At 48.7% G+C, this 17456-nt stretch overlaps 1 protein-coding gene and 1 long non-coding RNA gene across 2 annotated transcripts in view, besides 1 other annotated feature; one reads left to right on the top strand and one right to left on the bottom strand.

The window, feature by feature from the left end:
* The window catches only part of SORL1 (sortilin related receptor 1), a 181450-nt gene that overhangs the window by 18853 nt on the left and 145141 nt on the right, over positions 1–17456 (top strand). The window contains exons 3-4 of the mRNA NM_003105.6: positions 6952–7077; positions 16866–17027. Of these exons, the coding sequence (NP_003096.2) occupies positions 6952–7077; positions 16866–17027 (288 nt within the window). The remainder of the gene's footprint in view (positions 1–6951; positions 7078–16865; positions 17028–17456) is intronic.
* LOC105369535 (uncharacterized) lies at positions 1981–9495 on the bottom strand. The gene is made up of 5 exons (NR_169501.2): positions 9262–9495; positions 8858–9030; positions 7219–7299; positions 6006–6179; positions 1981–2265 (listed from the first exon to the last, which is right to left on the bottom strand). It is a non-coding gene; the product is annotated as an uncharacterized LOC105369535 (long non-coding RNA).
* Positions 11542–11711: an enhancer, noted in NCBI's record as "active region_5659". NCBI's record gives its function as "activates an Ori minimal core promoter by ATAC-STARR-seq in GM12878 lymphoblastoid cells {active_cell/tissue: GM12878}" and the evidence as "EXISTENCE:reporter gene assay evidence [ECO:0000049][PMID:35858748]".

Genomic DNA, 17456 nt, shown 5'->3' on the forward strand with positions numbered 1-17456 from the left:
GTGGGGAAGGGGAAGGGCCTTTGGGGACCGGGAGAAGCATGCTTCCGAGGAGCATTGACTGTCAGCTCCAGGCTCTGGTTGCCGTGCAGGATGCTGGGCCCAGTGTTGCCACATCTTCTGGTTTTCCAGAGGAACCCAGAGGTCTGGAGTTTCATGTGAAAACTGCTGAGTCTTACAAGTTGGCAGCCAGTGTATAGTTTTTACAGACACCGCGTGAGCCAGGTAAAACACATGTAAGGGCCAAAGCTCGCCCAACGGCTGGTCCCAGGTCTGCGGCCTGTGCTCTGGACTCCTCCTTGTGGGTGAGAGGAGCAGCCCCTGCCTCAGCCTGGGGTCTGACACTGTGGCAGCGCGAGGCTGCAGACGGAACACCATGCTTTACAGCTTCGGTCACCCTGCATTCTGGCCGGGGGAACCTTCTGATGAATTTGCCAGCACTTTCACACTAGCCTTAAGGATACATTTATAATTCTTGAATGCGGATTTGGTCTCTGTGAGGTCCCTCTCTGTATATCCACTGTCTGGGTTGGGTGTGTTGAGAAGCAGGTGTTGGGAAGTTGTCTCAGGGACTGTTTCCAGGGAGTTGAATTAGGGCAGCCACAGAAGGGAAGACAGAAGGGCTGGCTGTCAGGATGCATGACTTTGCCCGGGGTGGGTTCTGAGCCATGCTGTGTGGGAGACCACCGCTACTGATGGCCAGTCTGGGTGTAGTGCTCTGGGGCAGGGCTAGACTTGTTTGGGGCAATGACTTTGGCCCATTTATAAATATGATCAGGTTTTGCAAGTAAAAGCTGTGGCCACCACAGACAGCTGTGTCTGAATGCCTTTGGTGGCCGGGTGTGGTGGCCTGCTCCCATAGCCCCAGCTACTCAGCAGGCTAAGGCAGGAGGATCCCTTGAGCCAAGGAGTTCAAGGCTGCGGTGACCTATCTTCGTGCTACTGTACTTCAGCCTGAGTGACAGTGAGACCCTCTCTCTAGAAAAAATAAAACAAAAAATAGAAAAGAATGCCTTTGGCCCTGTGAGACTCTTCATAGACACCTGTGTGTAGTCCCTGCCCATGGGCATATCCCTCCTGGGCACAGGAGATATATATACTGTGCTATACTGTGTTGAGAAATCCTTCTTGGAATTTTTATGCGTTTAAAAAAACTCTTAATCCAGACAACATTTTTTGTGAGGTAGATAAAGACCTTAAGCATTGTTTTATAGTTTTGCTGGACAAACAGGAGCCAAGAGGTGTAAAGAGACTTGCATGAGGTCACTCAGCATGTCAGTGGGAAGGTCGGGGCTGATGAGAATCAAGGCCCAATCATGTACTCAGTGTGCGAAGATGTGGTATTAGGGTGACCAACTTGTCTAGGTTTTAGCACTAAAAGCCCCACATCCTGGGATCCTCCCTTAATTCTGAGTGAACCAGGGTGGTTTGTCACCCTAAGTATTGCCAGTCTATTGAAACCCAACTCTTGCTCTCTCTGTATATTTGGGTGTGTCTAACTAAGAGCCCATTGAACATGTGAAGTGGGATACACTATTGTGGAATGAAATGGGAGATAGAGCCGAGGTGGGCAGATCACCTGAGGTCGGGAGTTTGAGACCAGCCTGACCAACATGGAGAAACCCCATTTGTACTAAAAATGCAAAATTAGCTGGGTGTGGTGGTGGGTGCCTGTAATTCCAGCTACTCGGGAGGCTGAGGCAAGAGAATCGCTTGAACCCGGGAGGTGGAGGTTGCGATGAGCTGAGATCATGCCATTGCACTCCAGCCTGAGCAACAAGAGAGAAAACTCTGTCTCAAAAAAGAAAAAAAAAAAGGAGATAGATTAAATGGGAAGGAAACGCAATGGCCAGGGTTAATAAATAGGGATGGCAGAAATGGCCTTCCTCTCTATACAAACTGTGTTAAAGGATTGGCAGATGCAAGTGAGATGCCTGATGTAAAAAGTTAATGTGAAAAGAAATGATGACTCAGAGGCAGTAGTTGGGGTAATAACAATCCAAATTCTCTTTAAAGAAGACTGAGCATGGTTTGTAAGGTCCCATCAGCAGTCCAGAAGGGAAAGAACCTAAACAAATCAGGAACTGTGTGGGTGTTGGTGAGCGGCCAAAGTCATGCATATTCAGTATCTAAAAAGGGATGGCTCTGGAAGCTGGAATCCAGAAAGTCTTGCTCTCAAACGGGGAAAAAATGAATCATTTATCCACTGATGAAGTTGAAGCCAGTGTGATTCCATGAAGAGAACGGCTCCTGCAGGACTCATCTGTCCTGTGATAAATCAACAAAAGAATTAATAGATGTTTATCTCACCTTTTCCTAACTCTTTGTTTCTGCTCTCTCATGATGTATTTTACAAAGTACTAGGTTTACAAAGTGCTCAGGTGCAACATAATTGGCTGAAGAGCTGTCCAGGGGTACAGTCCACCAGAAGATCAGAATCAACCAGGGGCTGGGTGAGGAGTGGCTCATGCCTGTAATCCTAGCACTTCGGAAGGCCGAGGCGGGTGGATCATTTGAGGCCAGGAGTTCAAGACCAGCCCGGCCAACATGGTGAAACCCTGTCTCTACTAAAAATATAAAAATTAGCCAGGCGTGGTGGCACAAGCCTGTAATCCCAGCTACTCAGAAGGCCAAGGCAGGAGAATCACTTGAATCCGGGAGGCGGAGGTTGCAGTGAGTTGTGATCGTGCCACTGCACTCCAGGCTGGGTGACAGAGTGAGACCCTGTCTCAAAAAAAAAAAGAAAAAAAGAAAAGAATCAACCAGGGAAGATACTGTGCAGGATAGGACTTTCTGCTTTTGTCCCTAGAGCAGTGTGACATCATGATTGTACCCCTCAGGACTGACTGGGGAGCAGTGTCAGTTCTTGCTAACAGAGGGAGGCCGATGTCTGGCTGAGCACAGGCTCTGAAATCAGAACACCTGGGCTGGAATCCCGGATGTGCCATTCATTAGCAATCTGACCTTGGGCCAGGTGATGTACCTTCTCTTGTCCTCCTCTGTCACTGACATAGTGCTTGTTAAACCTTGCTACCCAAAGTGTGGTTGTGGTCTGTGGATCAGCCCTTGGGGATTTTCTGGGAGCTGGTTAGAAAAGAATCTCAGGTCCCATCCGGACTTCTTGAATCAGAACCTGCACTTGACCAGTGTCTTGCCGGGGCCAGGGGGCAGGTAGGGGGCGGAGAGGGGGCAGTCTGTGGGCATATTACAGTTTGAGAACATTGCTGTAAAGTACTTAGAACAGTGCCAGATATGGGGATGTTTTCTGTACATTTTAGCTGTCATCTGTTTCTCCCCTTTCTCTCCCTCCTCTTTATTATTACGTAGTTTTGAGGTACAAGGGAAAGAATTAAAAATCACTCACTTTCAAGGACCATCTTTGTAGGTAAAAAAGGATCTAACCAGAAACCGTGGGCAGTTCAGTAACTCCTCCCCTGTGCTATTTTGCTTTTTAGGGAGTAGCATCATATTGAGGTCAGAGGGGACTATTTAGTGCAGAAATCCCGTCTGGATGAAAAACCAACTAGGAGCACAAGATGAGTGAGTCCGGGGTGTTCTCTCAAATTCACCTGGAGATGGTATTGGACTGTGAGTCAGCAGCATGGTGCTGCCATGAAGAAAAGACAGCTAGAAAGGAAAGCGCAAGTCGGGGTGGAGCCACCAATCCGCTTGAGCTAACTGCACACTGGCAGAGGCCTTTTCTGGGCTGTTCAATGTGGGGGAAGATAGATAACTGTGCACCAGCTTTAAGCATTGTCCTTGTTCTATGGAGCTTATAGTCTATGCTAATTAAGTAGAAATAAGAATTAAGGACTGGGTGCGGAGGCTCATGCTTGTAATCCTAGCACTTTGGAAAGCTGACGTGCGTAGATTGCTTGAGCTTAGGAGTTGGAGACCAGCCTAGGAAACCCCATCTCTAAAAAAAATACAAAAATTTAGCTGGGCATGGTGGCGCCTGCCTGTAATCCCAGCTACTCAGGAGGCTGAGGTGGGAGGATCGCTTGAACCTGGGAAGATTGCTTGACCCCGGGAGGTCAAGGCTGCAGTGAGCTGTGCTTGTGCCACTGTGCTCCAGCCTGAGTCATAGAGCAAGAGCCTGTCTCGTCAGAAAAAAGAGAAAGAAATAACAATTATGAAGGTAGGATAAAAATGTCATGTTGGAATTTTTCAACCTGGCCAAGGGAAGGAAAGTTGATGAGTGGTTCATGATGGCCTTCAGGCATAGGACGGACTCTTACATACTTGCTTTTCACTTCTGTTAAGTAGAAGACCCAAAGAGATGGATTTTGTTTGTAGGTGAGAATTAGGGAAGAGCTCTTTGATAGTGAAGGTGGTTTTACCTCCATGTGCACGATGGCAGCGGCATGGCTGAGAATCTCAGGAAGGCTTTCTACTTGGTTAATGTGGGTCTTTTCTCTCTGCGGGCCAGCACTCCTTCCAGTGCTTGGCCTGTAGACTTGGTATAAGACCTTCCTACTTAGCAGAGAAACGTTAAGATGGAGAAGAGAACATTCTCCTAGAGGTAACTTGTTGGAGTAGAGAGACAACTGGACGTGGAATTGGAGGAAACTGTCATAGTTTTGTCTCTTACTAGCGGTATGACCCGGAGCTAGCCATTCACTTCTGGGAATCTTAGTTTTTGTTTATCTCTTAAATGGAAATCTCTTAGTGACTCACTGATTCATTCAATTCATTCTTTTCTATTCATTTATTTATCACATTTGTTTATTTGCTCTTTGGTTTATAATGATATTTATTCATCCTAGAAATCTTTGTTGAGCACCTGCTATGCCCCAGGTACACTGAAAGAGACAAAGGTGAGACTAACTCCGGTTTTTCAGATGAAGAGAGAGAATGTTTGTAAAGGAGTATTACATACTGAAAAATGCTACCTTAATGTAAACTATCACCTTTGTGCCCCTGAAGATATACGTGGGGGGTTATCAAATTATGGGATGTCAGAGCTGGAAGGGACTTTAGTTTCCTTCCTGAGAAGCCATTATTTTGCTCCATGTGATGTTTGAACCTAACCGGGACACTAATGTCCATTCTTGGCCGGCAGAATAGAAGTGAGAAAGTGCTACTTCGTCATTTTACCCACTCAGATTATCTGTGAACTCTCAGCCTGCACAATTTCTGAAGCTGCTTTTGTGGCAGCTCCTTACTGTGTATCTGGTAGTTGGGAACACATACTGTGTGTTCCAATAGCTTCTTCAACTGTGACTCAGATAAAGGCAGAGGCTCTGTCTTGGCCTCTTCTAACCTTAACATCTAGTAAGTATTAAAGACGTGCATGTGCTCTCTGTTCCCTTTCTACATACCTTGTGTTTACATAGGGCATTGTTTGCAGACATTTACATGTTTACATGCCCATCGTGTCTAAAGACTATGTCTTTTATTAGTCTTTGTCTGTCTGGTGTCTAGACAATACCTGGCTCACATGGAACCCTCAAAACATGTTTGCTGATGACTCAGACAAGCAAGGATTGGAATACACCCTGCTCCACTTTGAATTCACCTGCCCTTCCTTCCCTCCCTCCCTTCCTCCCTCTCTCCCTCCCTTCTCCTCCCTCCCTTCCCTTCCCTCCCTCCCACGCTTCCTCCCTCCCTCCCTCCCTCCCTTCCTTCCTCCCTTCCTCCCTCCCTTCCTTCCTTCCTCGCTCTGTCACCCAGGCTGGAGTACAATGGTGTGATCATGGCTCACTGCAGCCGGAAACTCCTGGGCTTAAGTGATCTTCACACCTCAGCTTCCCAACTAACTGAGACTACAGGCTCAAACCACCAAGCCAGGCTCATTTTTATATTTTCTGTAGATATAGGGTCTCACTCTGTTGCCCAGGCTGGTCTCAAACTCCTGGCCTCAAGCCATCCTCTCACCTCAGTCTCCTAAAGTGTTGGGGTTACAGGCGTGAGCCACTGCTCCTGGCCTCATTTTTCTTTAATGCTCATCCTAATCCCCTTTTCCATGAATCATTTGAAAAATAACTAAGTTATTTTAATATATTCACCTATCAGGCTTGTTTTTAACCCCGTGATTATATTAATTATTTCACATCTCACAGGTAGGTACATCTCACAGTATTGTCACGTCACTCAGCAATCTTTCATTTCCATCTTGGGCTACGTGGTGGAGACCCATGAGAGTTTTCTTCTCTTTTGTATGGAATGCTGTACAAACAGAACTTCCCAGAAGAAGAATGAAGAATTAGATACGTTTTGGGCACCATTCAACAGATGGCAAAACAAATCCTCCGTTCCATTCCCCTCAGCTAGCCACATTCTCCCCCTTCTGGATGTAATTTGTTAAACACTGAACTCAGCCCCGGTGAGGAGGTTATTACTGTTTCTATCATTTGTCTCCTGCTCCAGGGACTTGCCTTGGCCTCAGAAAAGAGGCTTGTGTATTCCAGGCAGTGGGGACTGCAGGGGTCCCATGCTTTCTGCCCCCACATGCTTGGGGACAGACATAGAGGTGCCCTGCCTCACCTTTGTGTGTTATCTGGTAACATCTGTCATTTCCTATCAGGCACCTAATGGGAGCCACGTTCAGGATCCAGGATGGGATGTTTGAAAGAGATCTTTCTGCTTGGGCTCGGTGGCTCATGCCTGTAATCCCAGCACTTTGGGAGGCCAAGGCAGGCGGATCACAAGGTCAAGAGATTGAGACCATCCTGGCCAACATGGTGAAACCCTGTCTCTGCTAAAAATACAAAAAAAAATTAGCTGGGCGTGGTGGCAGGTGCCTGTAATCCCAGCTACTTGGGAGGCTGAGGCAAGAGAATCGCTTGAACCCGGGAGGCAGAGGTTGCAGTGAGCTGAGATCGCACCATGGCACTGCAGCCCGGGCAAAAAGAGTGAAACTCAGTCTCAAAAAAAAAAAAAAAAAAAAGAAAGATCTTTCTGCCAGTTTCTCACCAACTCTTTCTTTTTCATCTCCTTTTCTCTGTATTCCAGGTGTACGTGTCTTACGACTATGGAAAATCATTCAAGAAAATTTCAGACAAGTTAAACTTTGGCTTGGGAAATAGGAGTGAAGCTGTTATCGCCCAGTTCTACCACAGCCCTGCGGACAACAAGCGGGTAAGGAAGTGGCCATCCCTCCTGTCCCGACTTCATGGGACTGGGTTTTGGAAAGATTGCCGCACTTAAGGGGGTGCTAGGAGATGGCGCTCTCTGTGATCTTTGTAGCATGACTGGTGGCTAGTGAGTTTTTGTGCTAACCTGGGCATTTGTGACAGACTGCTGTTCTCAGGGTTGGTCTCTGCACAATCAGGCAGGCCAAGGACTGGTCAGGCAGGATTTCTAGACAAACAATGACAGGTTAAACCACAGAAAATCAGCCAACTCTTGTAATACCTTGCCCGACTTGCAGATGGCAAAAATGTTTCCCAGGTACACTGAGAATAACCTTGCAATCAAATTCATGTTTTCTAGGATACTATCAGTGTGTCTGCTTGCGTGCTTATGCGTGCTTGTATGCGTGTGTGTGCATGTACGTGCTTGTGTGCGTGTGAGTACCTGTGTGCGTGTGGGTACCTGTGTGTGTGTGCTTGTGTGCATGTGGGTAACTGTGTGTGTGCTTGTGTGCGTGTGAGTACTTGTGTGGATGTGCATGCTTGTGTGCGCGTGAGTACCTTTGTGTGTGTGCTTGTGTGCGTGTAGTTACTTGTGTGCGTATGGGTACCTGCGTGTGTGTGCTTATGCACATATGGGTACCTGTGTGTGTGCTTGTGTGTGTGTGCAGATACCTGTGTGCATGCATTGGTACCCACGTGCGTGTGTGGGTACCTGCGTGCGTGCGCATGCTTGTGTGCACGTGGGTACCCACGTGCGTGCGCATGCTTGTGTGCACGTGGGTACCTGCGTGCGTGTGTTGGTGCAACCCTCTGTCCCCCGGCCTCTGAACCTGTACCGATATGGAAAAGAAAACCAAGGCAGCAGATATTGCTATGCCTCCTGCTTTGTTTTCCCAGCTGGCTGGCCCTGGGGGCTTTGTTTCTTCAGTTAGGCAATTTGATTTGAGGAAGCGTTGACCCTGGGCCCCCAGGGAGGTGGAGGCGGGAGGGCAGGAACCGGGCAGCCGGCAAGGCTTTCCTGCCAGTTGGGTAGCTCTTAGCTCGGAGAGTTGTATTTCGTTGCTTTCTTCCCCACTCTTGTGTTACCGTGTTTGTTTCCAGGCCAGATCTTCTACGGAAAGACCCTTAGTAGAAAAACTAAGAGAAACATTCTAGTAGCAAAAGCTTTCTGCTCCAGAAAGGAACAAGCAAGCAAGATCTACAGGGTCCTCTTTCCAGTCCCTAGTCCTGGCTTCTCAGGTTGCTTGAGGTCTCCTAGCAGGGGCTGCATTCAAAATATTTAGCGACTGGTGTGGCTTGGGCACTGACCAATCAGAACAAATCCTGTCTGGAGGAGGCTGGGTCCTGGACGTCCCCTGCTGGGCCATGCATTAACTTTTGAGTTGCTGAATTTCAGGGAGATCCTGGGGAAGGGACCACGCCATGGGAAGTGTTGTGGGGTAGGCTTAGGAAGGGCCACTTAAGGGTTTCAGGGCAGCGGCTGTTGACCAGGTGGTACAGAGCAGTTGTTTTTTAACAACTGGAATGGTCATTACTGGTACATACTTGTTAAAATATCAGCTCTGCCTGATGATCTCAGAGTGGAGTGGCAGTTAGGAGCAAACTTCCCTTTCTTACCTAACTCCAGGGTGACAGAGTAATTTTTCCCCCTGAGATGAAAAGCAAGGAGAAGGTGTTGGAGGGAATTGGCCCCATAGACGGGTCAGCCAGCCTTTGTGCCCCTTTGCCCCACCGCACAGTGTGGTCCCCAGGACTCCCAGAGAGGGGTGGGCCCCGCTGCTTGCCTTGCCTTTGGCTCCTCCGTGAGGTGAGGAGCCCTGACCAGGGTCCAGCTCATAGCTGCCTCTTCTGTGGATGGATCCATATGCGCCCCGCCTCTCAAGAATCAAATTACACCTGCTGATGTGTTGTATGCTTGGAAATGCAGAGTGGATTTTGTGTTCTCACACAAAAATAACTATGAGAGGGAAAGCATTTGTTAATTAGCCAGATTTAACCATTAAACAATGTATGTATGTTTTTAAACATTATGTTCTACATGATAAATACATATAATAGTATGTCTATTTAAATAATTAAATTTGAAAAAAACTAATCAAATATTATCATAAGTAATGATAAAAACCACAATTTCTTTTGCAGCAAACTAATAACACCTGGATTTCTCAATTTATTAAGTTGTACTTACCTGATGCTGATGATGATTACTGTATTTACACATTGTCTCAGAGCTCACTCTTGCGGAGGTTGTGGCCTCGAAAATGCCTTGTTGTCCCTCTGGAATCTGTCTTTTCAGCTTCATCTCCTCCTCCTCACCTCCTGCTGTGGTGCACAGATACCTATAGGCAGGCTCCATCTCCTCCTCCCCAGCTCCTCCCCTAGTGCACAGATACCTATAGGCAGGCTTCATCTCCTCCTCCCCAGCTTCTCCCCTAGTGCACAGATACCTATAGGCAGGCTCCATCTCCTCCTCCCCAGCTCCTCCCCTAGTGCACAGATACCTATAGGCAAGCTCCATCTCCTCCTCCCCAGCTCCTCCCCTAGTGCACAGATACCTATAGGCAAGCTCCATCTCCTCCTCCCCAGCTCCTCCCCTAGTGCACAGATACCTATAGGCAGGCTCCATCTCTTCTTCCCCAGCTTCTTCCGTAGTGCACAGATACCTATAGGCAGGCTTCATCTCCTCCTCCCCAGCTCCTCCCCTAGTGCACAGATACCTATAGGCAAGCTCCATCTCCTCCTCCCCAGCTCCTCCCCTAGTACACAGATACCTATAGGCAGGCTTCATCTCCTCCTCCCCAGCTCCTCCCCTAGTGCACAGATACCTATAGGCAGGCTTCATCTCCTCCTCCCCAGCTCCTCCCCTAGTACACAGATACCTGTAGGCAGACTCCATCTCTTCTTCCCCAGCTTCTTCCGTAGTGCACAGATACCTATAGGCAGGCTCCATCTCCTCCTCCCCAGCTCCTCTCCTAGTGCACAGATACCTATAGGCAAGCTCCATCTCCTCCTCCCCAGCTCCTCCCCTAGTGCACAGATACCTATAGGCAGGCTCCATCTCCTCCTCCCCAGCTCCTCCCCTAGTGCACAGATACCTATAAGCAAGCTCCATCTCCTCCTCCCCAGCTTCTTCCATAGTGCACAGATACCTATAGGCAGGCTCCATCTCCTCCTCCCCAGCTCCTCTCCTAGTGCACAGATACCTATAGGCAGGCTTCATCTCCTCCTCCCCAGCTCCTCCCCTAGTGCACAGATACCTATAGGCAGGCTTCATCTCCTCCTCCCCAGCTCCTTCCCTAGTGCACAGATACCTATAGGCAGGCTTCATCTCCTCCTCCCCAGCTCCTCCCCTAGTGCACAGATACCTATAGGCAGGCTTCATCTCCCCAGCTCCTCCCCTAGTGCACAGATACCTATAGGCAGGTTCCATCTCCTCCTCCCCAGCTCCTCCCCTAGTGCACAGATACCTATAGGCAGGCTTCATCTCCTCCTCCCCAGCTCCTCCCCTAGTGCACAGATGTCTATAGGCAGGCTCCATCTCCTCCTCCCCAGCTCCTCCCCTAGTGCACAGATACCTATAGGCAGGCTTCATCTCCTCCTCCCCAGCTCCTCCCCTAGTACACAGATACCTATAGGCAGGCTTCATCTCCTCCTCCCCAGCTCCTCCCCTAGTGCACAGATACCTATAGGCAGGCTTCATCTCCTCCTCCCGAGCTCCTCCCCTAGTGCACAGATACCTATAGGCAGGCTCCATCTCTTCTTCCCCAGCTTCTTCCATAGTACACAGATGCCTATAGGTGGGTTCTGACTTCCTTTCTGCTTGTTGTGGGTTGTGGTGAACAACTGCTAAGGCCACAAGTCTGAAGAGTCAGAAGACAGGACAGATGATGTTTTGGACTTGAAGGAGGAGGGTTAGTGCAGGCAGAGGACTGGGGCTTTGGAAGCACTGGATCTGGAGAAGGAGCAGAGCAGGGGCCGTGGTGTTTGGGGCAAGAGCAAGGGGAAACTGGAGGGTGATTCCAGTAAGGGAGTTTAGGTGCTGCACTGTGGAATGGGGGTGACATGTTTGCATCCCAAGTGCTGTGTACCTCCGAGTGGTGTGTCTTAGATTCTCATGGGTGGATATTCTTTGGAGTTGGTGGGGTTGGAGAAGTCAGGAGAAAAAAGGCTGCCTTCTTGGAGAATTTGTTGACAGTTGGGCCTCAGGCCTGGAACAGGCTGAGTGGGTTGGTGGGGGCAGCATTCTCTGTAGATAGTTTCTAATTCCCCAGAGAAGGCTGCTCCTCACCACCCCACCAGACTCTCAGGAAGGAAATGATGACTCTTAACAGTGCTGATTGCTTCTGTTACTTTTGCCTTTGTCCCCTGGAAGGCAAATTGCCCCACCAGACCTACCACTTCCTGAGAAAAATCACACAAGGCTGGATGCCTTGCTGTCAACAGCAGGGCGCTCTGCCTAGGCAAATCACCCAGGTGAAAATGCGAGCTGCCAAGGAGCATTTGAAATGGTCGAAATGAATGTTAGCAGCTGCTTGGAAAGGTTAAGATGTCAGGAAAGGGCAGCGTGGATGTCTAGGAGCATGAGTGCCTGTGGAAGGGGAGAGAAGGTGCTAGCGCGGCATCCAGTTCCAGTCCGAAGGCTTTGCCTTGTGATGGAGATGGTGCTTGTGGGCCCATGTGAGTTTTGGGTCTATTTCTGCATTAGCCAGCAGTCCCACTTCCTTCTTGGTCTCCTGTGTGCTGCCCTGAACCATTGTGCAGTGCTGGCCACATGGCAGTTCTGCCAACATTGTGGGGCCCCTGAGATTGGTCAGACAGAATTGAAATATGTTTGGCGCTGTTATTTGCTTACTTAATAATTTTTAAAAAATAGAGACAGGGGTCTTGCTCTGCCATACATCCTGGGCACAATCATAGCTCACTGTAACCTCAAATTCCTGGGCTCAGGTATTCCTTCTGTCTCAGCCTTCCAAGTAGCTGTGACTACGGGCCAGCGCCACTGCATATCTGGGGCTTTTTAAAAAAGGACACTGAATGTACAGTTAGGCCTCACAGCCTCAGCCTCAGCAGAAGCAAGACCCAGTCCTGCCTTTTTCCAGGCAGAGGTTGGTCCTAGGTAAAATTTCATTCCCACCTTCTAGAGGGATGTTCCTTCATTGCCTTCTCTGCCCTTCCTCCTCTCATTGTACTCTTGGTTTCTCCACTTGAAACTGGAGAAAGTCACTTATGCTAATAGACTGTGGATACATTCTATAGCTTAGTTTGTTTTCTTTCCAGAGGTATTTGTATTTTCAGAGGAAACAGCTTTTAACCAAAGGAGGAAGCTCCTCTGGAATATTAAGTTACTGCAAACAGGGTTGGAGAGATTGGGGTACACAAAGGCACTCCTGAAATTGCATAGTTTGGGAAGCACCTTGTAGGTCAGCTCTTGGTCAGTCTGTAGGTTTGGCCTCCAGTAAACTTGACAGCCAGGCAGCACAGAGACTTAAAAGCCAGGGTGAAATACTGTGTCTTCCTAACATGTACATATCTGACCCTTTGTATCACAGCATGAGGTACCATGTGCTCAAGTGATGAATGTAACCTACAAATAATAGAGCTAGGGGAATCAAATGAGGTTGGATCATAGAAGCCAAGTCTTCATGGGGTACTTAGGATTTGATATGAGCTTCAAGGATGGACATGTGACCCCAGTAAGTAGAGGAGAGCTGTCAGGAGCCCTCAAGCAGGAGAAGGGCGTCAGCAGAGACTGCAAAGTGCCAAAATGTGGTTTCTGTGCAGGACAGCGAGGAGATTCACTTTTTGGTGGTGGAGAGCTTGTATTGAGCTGCTGTGCAATGTCAAACAGGCCCGTGTCTGAAGATGGAGATTGTCTTCTGCTTTGAGGGCTGAACAGAGCTAGGAAAGAATATTTGAGTAGGGGTGTAAATGAATAGTGTCCTTTAGGGAAATGTGTCTTCTGGCAATATTCTTGACTTTCCCTTTTAGCAGGGAAAGATTAGGGAAGAGTCTAGAAAGGGAACTATTGTGGCAGTGTAGGCATGAAGTTGCTCAATCAAACCTGGTATCACCCTCTAAGTATTTCATTTAGGCCCTGGAAGACATGAGGATGAAGAAGACCCATTGCCTGCCTCCAGTTTGTTTAGTCTCTAGTGAAGACGTGGGCCATGCCAATAGCACTGAGAGGAAAAAGGAAGGCACATATTTTGAGAAAGATTTTAAAGGAAAACAAAACAGGTTTGGTGGCTGATAGAGAGTGAGGGCCAAAGGGAAGGACTGGAGTAAAAACCCATCTCTGCTTGTGAGTAGTGGGGCTGGGAGAAGGCATAGCAGGCAGGAGACTTGGGACGTGGGGAGGGAGAATTGGGTTTTGTTGGGAAAGTTTTGAAGAACTCAAGTTTTGCGTATAGTAAAATATCTTGGCCCATCAAAAGTGGAGATGGTGAGAAGGTAAACAAAAATGGAATCTCTGTAAGAATTGAGGGTTAGACTGTAGATTTGAAAGTCATGCCATGCTTCTTCTTTTGTTTTTGAGACAGGGTCTCACTTCATCACCCAGGCTGGAGTGCAGTGGTGTGATGTCGGCTCATTGCAACCTCTGTCTCCCAGGTTCAAGCGATTCTTGCACCTCAGCCTCCTGAGTAGCTGGAATTATAGGTGCACACCACCATGCCCAGCTAATTTTTTGTATTTTTAGTAGAGATGGGGTTTTGCCATGTTGGCCAGGCTGGTCTCGAACCCCTGACCTGAAGTGATCTGCCCACCTTGGCCTCCCAAAGTGGTGGGATTACAGGCATGAGCCACCCCGCCCGGCCCCATGCTTGTTCTTAAGGGCGGTGGTTGAAGCTTTGTGAAAGGATAAGCCAAAGTTAGCAGCAAAGGATGGAAGAAGAATGAGGTTATATGAGCGTAGGGAGTGGGGAGGACCAAGGAGCCAGCAGAGGAGAATCAAGGCTTGAGATGATCAGGGGCTGGGGATGGAGAGGTGAAATGAGAGGGTGCTGTGGATTAGGAGAGAAGGCACACAAATGAGTTAAATGGTACAAGGTAAGACCTATGAATGAAGTTCAGGAAATGTTGCCGTTTTGTTAAAAGAGCTGTTAAGGGGTGAGATGTGAACATGTGAACCAGTCAGATATTGACGTCAATGCTGCCTAGTCCTGCGTCACCTTGGGCAGTAAACTACTCTCAGTCTCAGTGTCCTCATTATTAAAAGAGTGTATAACGGTAATATCCAAAGCATTGAGTCACTGTGAACCCTGAATGAGATAGGGCATGCCAAACTTTTAGCTCAGTGCCTGGCATATAGGAAGTGCTCTTGAAAACGTTTAGCTATTACCATGGACAATAATACATTCTATGACGGGGTGCGTGATTTTTGGATTCTCCAATGTGAGACTGCAGGAAGCCATGGAACAGATTTCTGGGGAAATCTTTTCAAATTGAGGATGCTTCCTTCCCCAATAACCTAGGTGGTTTGGGAGCAGGAAGATGGACTATGTTATTTCTGGGGAATACTTTTATGCCAGAAATTATGATGATCCTCTTAGGATCATAATTGTTTTTTATAACATTGCATTTTATTGTAGTTTTTGCTTTCAAAACATTTACTACCTTTTCCAGTTTGATTTAATGAGGCTTCTGCAGAGTTTAGAGATTTACCTGAGATGCTGGGGAGGAAACGTGAGAGAGCGAATCCACAAAATATGTCCCTGGGAAGTTTATGGTCTGGATTTGGGGAGAGAGTGCAAATGAAAAGGAGTGAGCACATCTGAAAGCAGCATGAGACAAGTGCAAAGTGCTGGTCCACACCGAGGCTGTGGCACTGAAAGGTTTCAGAGCTGGAGATTGATCTGGGTCAGGTGGAGTCCATTCGAGAAAGTGTCCTTGGGCTTATCCTGCAGGATTGCTTGACTTCTAGGATGTCAATGACTGGCTGTGGGTAGAACTAGGTCCCTGTTGCTCTGGTTTCTGATTCATAATCTCCTGAGCCTTCCTCATTCTTCCAGGAGCAGGGACCGGCCTCCGGGTCTTGCCAGGTGTGCATGCGAGGCCTTACATCATCTGTGCTTCCCAGCCTTGTTTTCTGGTTATTTCTCTCAGGCCCTCAAGACTGTCACTGGGTGCAGTGGCTCATGCCTGTAATCCCACCACTTTAGGAGGCCGAGGCAGCCTGATGGCTTGAGCTCAGGAGTTTGAGACCAGCCTGGGCAACATGGTGAGACTCTGTTTCTTTCTTTCTTTTTTTTTTTTTTTTTGAGACGGAGTCTCACTCTGTCGCCCAGGCTGGAGTGTAGTGGCACGCTCTTGGCTCACTGCAAGCTCCGCCTCCTGGGTTCACGCCATTCTCCTGCCTCAGCCTCCCGAGTAGCTGGGATTACAGGCCCCCACCACCATGCCCGGCTAATTTTTCGTATTTTTAGTAGAGATGGGTTTTCACCCTGTTAGCCAGGATGGTCTCGATCTCCTGACCTCGTGATCCCCCCGCCTCAGCCTCCCAAAGTGCTGGGATTACAGCCGCGAGCCACTGCGCCCGGCGGTGAGACTCTGTTTCTACAAAAAATACAAAAACTTAGCTGGTTGTGATGGCACACACCTGTAGTCCCAACTACCTGGGAGGCTGAGGTGGGATGACCTCCTGAGCCCGGGGAGGTCAAGGCTGCACTGAGCCATGATTGTGCCACTGCACTCCAGCCTGGGCAACAGAGCGAGACCTTGTCTCAAATAAACAAGACTCTCATCAAACCCATGCTATATCTCTTTTCCCCCTTTGTGCCCAAACCCACACTGCCCTAGACGTGGAATATTCTTTCCCTGTGGGAGTCTCACCTGCCCTGCGAGGCCCACCTCTTCCATGGAATCATTTCTCATCTCTCAGCCTGGAGAGGCACTCATAGGACTCTGGTCATGGCTTCTCATTCAGCCTCACTTTCTCTTGACTGATGGTTAGCCCTGGACATGTCTGTCTCCCATGTTAGATTTTGAGCTACTTGAGGGAAGGCATCTTGGGTTTTTGTGGCAGCTCCTGAGCGTCTGGTCCGTGGTGGGAATGCAGCACACATGTGTTAGGTTGAATTGCCTGGATCCTTCTCCCCAGGGAATTCTTTCAGCCGCAGCCACTATCCAGCCTAAATTGTTCAGATTCACTCATCCACACAGAAGCTAAGTAGGATGAGGCCCGTGCTCACCAGAGCTACTTACTGCTCTGCCCCAGAGTGAGCCTGCCAGCCACAGTGGCAGCCTGGTCCCCAGAGCTGCCGATCACCTGGCATAGCAGCACGAAGGAGAAGCTTATCTTCTTAGATGGAAGTGATTTTAGTGCTTTTCCTGGAAAGCCATGTCCCATAGCTGCTTGGAGGATGCAGGGAGACTCAACCATCCCATCTGTGTTAGCCAATCTGAAAAGTAGGGCGTCTGTGTCCCAGATGCCAGTAACTACCCTCTGGTTGTGACTGAGTGACCCACTAGGGAGTGGGAATTGCTAATTTCATTGAAAGGAAACAACAGAAAGGCCCACTTCATTACCTGGTTAAACAAGCCCACCTTGTAGCTTCATCCCGGTCCATCTCCAGGCCTCCTTTCGCTGAGCCTTGTTTGGAGTATGCCAGTGTCTTTTTATTGCCAAGAGATGGGGAGAAAGCCATTGTGGAAGCCCTGTAAGGCTGTGGTGCCTTGTTGGTGCCAGCTGGCCCCTGCACATGTGTGTACTCGTGTGGACTCGCACATGGTTTAGGGGAGTGTTGGGCAGCTCTGGACAGGGCCTGCTCTCAACTTACCTGTTTTCCCTTGCAGTACATCTTTGCAGACGCTTATGCCCAGTACCTCTGGATCACGTTTGACTTCTGCAACACTCTTCAAGGCTTTTCCATCCCATTTCGGGCAGCTGATCTCCTCCTACACAGTAAGGCCTCCAACCTTCTCTTGGGCTTTGACAGGTCCCACCCCAACAAGCAGGTAAGAGGGCTTTCAGAACCCAGTTGCATGGGGCTCCTCTAGTTTTCTCCTCTGCCTGTGTGGATTGTGTGTCCTTTGAGTGACCTCGCCTCCTGCCTCTCCCTCCTTCTCTCTTGGGCCTAGCCTTTGTAGCTACTATTTCACTTACCAGGGCTCAAGAAAAATATCTCCTCCTGGCACTCTCAGTTGGCAGCCCAGCCAGCCATCAGCACCCAGCACTTGGCAGGCCCTGTGAGTTAAACATCATGCCCTTCTCCATGCAGTTGCACCTTTGTTAGCCCTTGGGGTAAATCGAGGCTCTGGAATTTAATCAGAGAGAGAGCCAGGTGGAGAAAGCTGGAATCTGAGCTCTTCAGGGACCTTTTGTTGAATTTCTGTTCTGCTTTCTCCATCCTCCATCTTAAACACTGCTTTTGCCTCCCATTTATT

This window comes from Homo sapiens, chromosome 11 (genome assembly GCF_000001405.40).
Source record: "Homo sapiens chromosome 11, GRCh38.p14 Primary Assembly".
NCBI lineage: Eukaryota > Metazoa > Chordata > Mammalia > Primates > Hominidae > Homo > Homo sapiens.